Raw genomic sequence first — 7,309 nt, 5'->3', positions numbered from 1 at the left:
TTTTCCTAGCCCTCACTCAAAATGGAGTCGCTCTGGTTTGAACGCCTCTGACACTTATGTTGTCATATAAATCACTGCCTCCTTCTTTCTCTCTTCTGTTTCTGGAACTTCTGTAATGAATAATTGGACTACTCAATGATGACTCTTAAATACCTTAGACTCTATTCACTTCTTTTTTTTTTTTTTTTTCCTTTTTGGTCCTTAGACTCACTACTTTTAAATAATCTTTTTTTTTGTTTGCTGCTTCTTTCCACTGCCTGCTAAAGTCTTCTGTTAAAGCTGTCTCATAAATTTTTCAATTCACTTACCATATTTTTCATCTCCAGAATTTCTTGTTGGTTCTTTTAAAATAATTTCTGTCTCTTTGTTGATATTCTCCTTTTGTTCATATATTATTTTCTTCACTTTTTAGTTATTTGTCTATGTTTTTCTTTAGATCCTTGAGCATAAGATAGTTGTTTAAAAGTCTTTGTCTAGTATTTCAAATGTCAATGTTTCTTCAGGGACAGTTTCTGCAGCTGTATTTTCTTCTTTGCTTGGGCCATGGCTTTCTTGTCTCTTTGAACACCTTGTAATTTGTTATTGTTATTGTTATTGTTATTGTTATTGTGGAAAATGGGGCATTTAGAAAAAAAGGCATTTCCTCTCCCAATGTTTGCAGACTGAGTCTGTGTAGGAAAAGCTCTTCAATAATTAGAAGGGCATGTTCTTTGACTTTAGATCAGCCTGGTCTGAAGGCTTTCATCTTCTGTGGTCTTTTATCAGACTTCATTTTCTCTGGGCCTGTGTGTGCTTTTATTTATTTTTTCCTTGTGTATACAGCCTTTTAGAAAATGTCTTAATTTCCCTAGGGGTCATAGCCCTGCTTCTTCTCAGAGTCAAGAATATTCTATTTTATTCCTCTATCTGTAATCTCATGCTCCAGGCATTTGCAGGTCTATCATGCATCTCACAGCAGCATTCACGAGCTATGTCTGTTGTCTCTCATTGGTTTTCATAGCCTGAGATCTGAGCTGTTCTGATCTTTGCTGTCTGACCTATGAGTTAGAAACAACAGAGACTAATCCAACATGGAGCTCCCAGACAGGTTAGAACATTTCAAATAAAGTCTGGTTTACCCTTCCAGTTCCAGGGAAGGAATTGGAAGCTCAGCTATCACTTTCCTAAGACCATTCTGTGCAGTTCCAGGGATGGGATGTGGCAAAGCCAAGTAAAAATGCCACACAATTTTCAACTGCTTTGGAAGTGGCTCCGTTTTGTTTGGATGTTCATGTGTTTTCTGTAAACCTTGAGCTGTTTTCCATAGTTCTTAAATGTCAGTTTAACCAATTTGTAGTTTTTTCTTTAATGTTTCCATGGGGGACAAAGTTCTAAAGTTTTCTAGTCTGCCATTTTTCTGACATCACTGAGATTAATTTTATGCCCCAGCATATGTTTTTTTCTAGGTAAATATTCTGTGTACATTTAAAAAAAATGTGTATCTGACAGTTGGTATTTGAAATTTTCTATACATGTCAATTAGGTCAAGTGGTAATGCTGGTCAAATCTTTTACACTCTTACTGAATTTTTGTCTTCTTGTTGTAGAAGTTTTTGATATAGGGGTATAAAAATGTCTGACTAGGCCAGGCGTGGTGGCTCATGCCTGTAATCCCAGCACTTTGGGTGGCTGAGGTAGGTGGATCACCTGAGGTCGGGAGTTCAAGACCAGCCCGGCCAACATAGTGAAACCCCATCTCTACCAAAAATACAAAAAATTAGCTGGGCGTGGTGGTGGGTGCCTGTAATCTCAGCTACTCAGGAGGCTGAGGCAAGAGAATCGCTTGAACCTGGGAGGCGGAGGTTGCAGTGAGGCGAGATTGCACCATTGCACTCCAGCCTGGGGAACAAGAGTGAAACTCAGTCTCAAAACAAACAAACAAACAAAAATCTAACTGTAATTGTGGAAAGAAAAATGTTTATTTTTCTTATAATCTTTATATTTTGCTTCATGTATATTGAATGTACATGACTTGTTATATAAACATTTAGGTTTTTTATTTCTCTTGACAAACTGACCCTTTTGTTATTTTGAAATGACTTTATCTCTAGTAATACCCATTCAACTGAAATTTACTTTGTGTGATACTACTATAGTCACTCCAGATTTCTTTGAGGTAGTGTTTATTATATATTTTTTCGTCTTTTTACTTGTGTTTTTCCATTTAAAGTATGTTTTTTTGGAGGCAGAATACTGTTAGCTTTTGCTTTCTTTGAATCTAATCTGTCAATATTAGAGTTTTTGGGCAATTGATACTAATGTGATTATTAATATGGTTAGATTTAAGTTTATTTTCTTAAAATGGTTTTTCATTTGTTCCCTCTGTGCTTTGTTACTTTTTCTCTTTTTTAGCCCTTTTTAAAGGATAATTGAGAATTTCTTTAAGAATTTCATCTTATCTCTTTGATTGGCTTATCAGCCTTTACTCTTTGTTGGCATATTTTAGTGGTTGGTTTAGGGTATGTAGCATATATTTTTAACTTTTCACAGTGTATATTCAAGTTATAGTATATTACTTCACATATAAAATTTTTGAATAGCATACTTCCATTTTTCTCCTCATAGGCATTGTGCCATCACTGCCATAAATTTGACTTCTACATGTGTTATAAACCTCATGCTATATTGTTATTACTGTTACTTAGACAATTATATTTTAAAAATACTTAAATAATAAGAAAAACATTCCAGAATTTTATTCATGTAGTTACCATGTCCAGTGTCCCACAGTCCTTTGTATGCATTTATATTTGCATCTAGTATCAGTTTTTCAATTTTCTTCTGCCTAAAAACTTTCTTTAACATTTATTGTAAAGTGGCTATGTTGGAGATGAATTATTTCAGGTTTTCTAAGTCTGAAAAATGTCTTTATTTTCATTTTTTAATGTTTTTTTCACTGCTTCTAGAATTTTAAGTAGAAATATTCTTACTTTAAGTACTTAAATAAAATTTCTAGTTATATCATACAATGATTAGATTTTTTAAAAATATTTTTTCACATGTACTTTGAAGTTTTTAATTTCTGTTTGTACAATGCTGCCATTATAATGGCACTTAAATATCACTACAACCCAAGCATTTTTCTGAGTGTCCAGTACGTATCCATTCACTTAATGTTCACAGGAAGATTTGGAGGCATGCCCTGTTATTATCCCCACTTAAGAGGCCAAGAGAGTACTTGCCCAGAGTTGCTCAGTTAGTAAAACATGTTCCATAGGTGAATAAAACTTTGCCTTTGCAAACTTTAAATGTTGAAAGATAGGTTTAAAGGGTGATTATTGTTATTATTTTTTAACTTTTATTTTAGGTTCGGGGTACATGTGCTGATTTGTTAGGTAGATTACACATCATGGGGGTTTGGTGTACACATTATTTTGCCACCCAGGTAATAAGCACAGTACTAGATAGGTAGTTTCTCAGTTGTCACCGTCTTCCCTCCCTTTACCCTCAAGTAGGCCCCAGTGCCTGTTGTTCCCTTCTTTGTGTCCATATGTACTCAGTGTTTTGCTCCCACTCATAAGTGAGAACATGCGGCATTTGGTTTCCTGTTCCTGTGTTTGTTTGCTTCGTATAATGGCCTCCAGCTCCATCCATGTTGCTGCAAAGGACATGATCACGTTCTTTTTTATGGTTGTGTAGTATATTCTGTGGTGTATATGCACCACATTTTCTTTCTTTCTTTTTTTTTTTTTCGAGCGGGAGTCTTGCTCTGTCACCCGGGCTGGAGTGCAGTGGTGCGATCTCGGCTCACTGCAAACTCCGCCTCTGGGGTTCACGCCCTTCTCCTGCCTCAGCCTTCCGAGTAGCTGGGACTACAGGCGCCCACCACCACGCCTGGCTAATTTTTTGTATTTTAAATTGAGACGGGGTTTCACCGTGTTAGCCAGGATGGTCCCCATCTCCTGACCTCGTGATCCACCGGCCTCCACCTCCCAGAGTGCTGGGATTACAGGCGTGAGCCACCGCGCCGGGCCTATGCACCACATTTTCTTTATTCAGTCTACCATTGATGGGCATTTAGCTTGATCCCATGTCTTTGCTATTGTGAATAGTGCTGCAATGAACATACACATGCCTAGGTCTACCATTCTCATTACTGGGTAGAATAGTAATTCTGTTTTGAGTTCTTTGAGAAATCACCAAACTGCTTTTGACACTGACTGAACTAATTTACATGTCCACCAGTAGTGTCTAAGCATTCAAAATGGTGACTTTTTGTTTGTTTGTTTTTGAGAAAGTCTCACTCTGCTGCCCAGGCTGGAGTGCAGTGGTGCGATCTCGGCTCACTGCAACCCCTGCTTCCTGGGTTCAAGTGATTCTCATGCCCTAGCCTCCCAAGGAGCTGGGATTACAGGCATGCACCAACACGCCTGGCTAATTTTTGTATTTTTTGTGGAGAAGGGGTTTCACCATGTTGGCCAGTCTGGTCTCGAACTCCTAACCTCAAGTGATCCGCCTGCCTTGGCTTCCCAAAATGCCAGCATTACAGGCATGAGCCACTGCACGCAGCCTCAAAAGTGTGATTTTTTAAAGAGCAAATAAAATACATCAAAATTAACTTATATCTGAAAAAAAGAAACTTAATAGACCAGTACTTTGATATGTGATTCAACTAGAGCTTTCATAAAAAAACTTTAGGCTCCCTAAAATGGCTCTTTATTGGATTAGTACAATTGGCTGAATTTTTGTTTAAGGGTAAAATTTGCCCAAGAATGTAGGGCTTTAAAATTTATTTGCCGGCAGGGTGTGGAGGCTCACGCCTGTAATCCCAACACTTTGGGAGGCCGAGGTGGGCGGATCACGAGGTCAGGAGATCGAGAGCATCCTGGCTACGGTGAAACCCCGTCTCTACTAAAAATAAAAAAAAATTGGCCGGGCGCGGTGGTGGGCGCTTGTAGTCCCAGCTACTCTGGACGCTGAGGCAGGAGAATGGCGTGAACCCGGGAGGCGGAGCTTGCAGTGAGCTGAGATCGCACCACTGCACTCCAGCCTGGATGACAGAGCGAGACTCCGTCTCAAAAAAAAAATACACACACACACACACACACACACACACACACACACACACACACACTCTCAGCCGGGCGTGGTGGCGGGCGCCTGTAGTCTCTCACACACACACACACACACACACACACACACACACACACACACACACTCTCTTAGCCGGGCGTGGTGGCGGGCGCCCGTAGTCCCAGCTACTCGGCAGGCTGAGGCAGGAGAATGGCCTGAACCCGGGAGGCAGAGCTTGCAATGAGCCCAGATGGCGCCACTGCACTCCAGCCTGGGTGACAAAGCAAGCCTCCTTCTCAAAAAAAAAAAAATAAAGAACAAATCATATGAAACAAAAAAATAGCAGTTCTAACATGAATGTGAATCTGTATTTAATGGCAACTACACTTAGGTGTTTATGAGAGAATATTACAATTTCATAAATTTACATTGAACACTTAAGAAAAGAAACATATTGGCACAAAACTCTTTGAACCATGAAAAGTCCACTTTATTCAATATTTATGTGGAAATTATTCTGGCATAACTTCATTCTACACTGCTACAACAGGAAACTATAGGAACATAAGGACAAAATGCCAACATTTAACTGCAGCCTTTCCTGGGAAACATAATATGTTTAAATAGCCTTTAGAGACAAAGAAAAGTCTATTTAATTTATGGCATGAAAAGAAATGTGACAACAAAGCATTTTGTAGTCATGGTTATCAGTCTTTGAAAAAGTTCTTAATAGGATTTGGGTTTATTTTAATTAATGAAAATAAAATATGAATAATTTATTGAACTCAGTATATTATAGCAGTGGGAACTTCTCATAAATTATTCTCAGATAATTTTCACAAGCTAATCAAAAAAGACATAATTCTGTTTATTATGAAAAATGGGATCCAAGGTTTCGAGAGAACTTTCGTGTCTTGCTATTGTTTCTAAAGTCTCCCTCCAGACCATCTCATTTCTGAGTCACAGACTTTCCTAAATAACAAGTGCAGCCAAATATGTTATCACTTCAGGGTCATTTTTGTTTGTTTGTTTTCTCCCTTTCTCTCTCTCTTTTTTTGTATCCTTATACCCGGCAGCAGTTTCTTTGAAAATTTGGACCAGAAGGTGCATAACAAGTTGTTCTGCAGAAGTTCTTATCTGATATTCTTAGGGAGCTATCCTGCATGTAATCTTCATTTTTTTTTTCTCTACCATCATGTAGGCATACTCAGTGTAGACTACCACAATCCTGGATACCTCTCTGCTTAGATTTACAATCTCTGCTAAGATTTGCCACTGCAGAAAGTGTAGTAGTTTCACTACATATGAAAAAAAAGACTGCCTTCTAACTGCGTACTTATTTCTAGCTTCTAGATTGCACATTTACAGTGTTTGCAAAAGCAATAACTATTCTTACCGGTAGGAGATGAATTACACACTCCTTCTTCTTCTATAATAAGAGTTATCTACCTTCTGGTCAAAGTGCTTCCTTAAGGCACTTCGAAGCTCATCTGCTGGCAGGCATGAAGCATGCTGTTCCCCTGAGCCTTCACGAACTGGATCTACTCAAGACAAAACAGTCTCTGCTTCATTATATTCAGAAATTCAGGCTTGCCATGAGGCTGTTTAGTGTTCTGAAACACAAATGCTGGCAAATCAAAAATTCTCCCAAACACGTATCTACCAATTTTTGCTCCGTAAATAGGAACAGTATTTTCTCATATCCTTAGATTAGCTGAGTTAAAAAGATGCCCCAAACATTGAGTCCCATTATTTTAAGCTTGAAGTTTTATAATTATAGCTTTATCCTTGCCCCATGAGAGACGCATTCTCTATCAAGCCATTCAAGCAAGGATCAGTTTTCAGTTTAGATAAAACTACAAAATGAATAAATTCACTTCTGACATTTAATTAATGCCTTTCTTTACTCTCTCCTACCCCTACACTCCACCCCTTATAGTACTTGCCTCCTCTCATTCTCCCCATCTCCAGCCCAAATCCAGATGACTTCTGCTATATTAAAGTTTGCTTTCAGGAAAAGATCTGAAATCCGTAAGCGGTTTCATACTAAATATTAGCACACTTCAATGGTAGAACATTGATTTGCTGAAGTCTGGGGTTGATTTCCTAGCCCCTAAAATCACATTCTAACTGTGACTACGTGTTCTTTCTATAAGTTTAACATAGATTTAGGGTGAGACTTATCTTTTTATATAAACGAAAATATTTGGGAGAATGCTTTCTTTGTTTCTTTCTTTTTTTTTTTTTTTTTTTTTTTG

Source organism: Homo sapiens, chromosome 9, assembly GCF_000001405.40.
Source record: "Homo sapiens chromosome 9, GRCh38.p14 Primary Assembly".
Taxonomy (NCBI): Eukaryota; Metazoa; Chordata; class Mammalia; order Primates; family Hominidae; genus Homo; species Homo sapiens.
Note: the sequence above shows the minus strand (reverse complement) of the source record.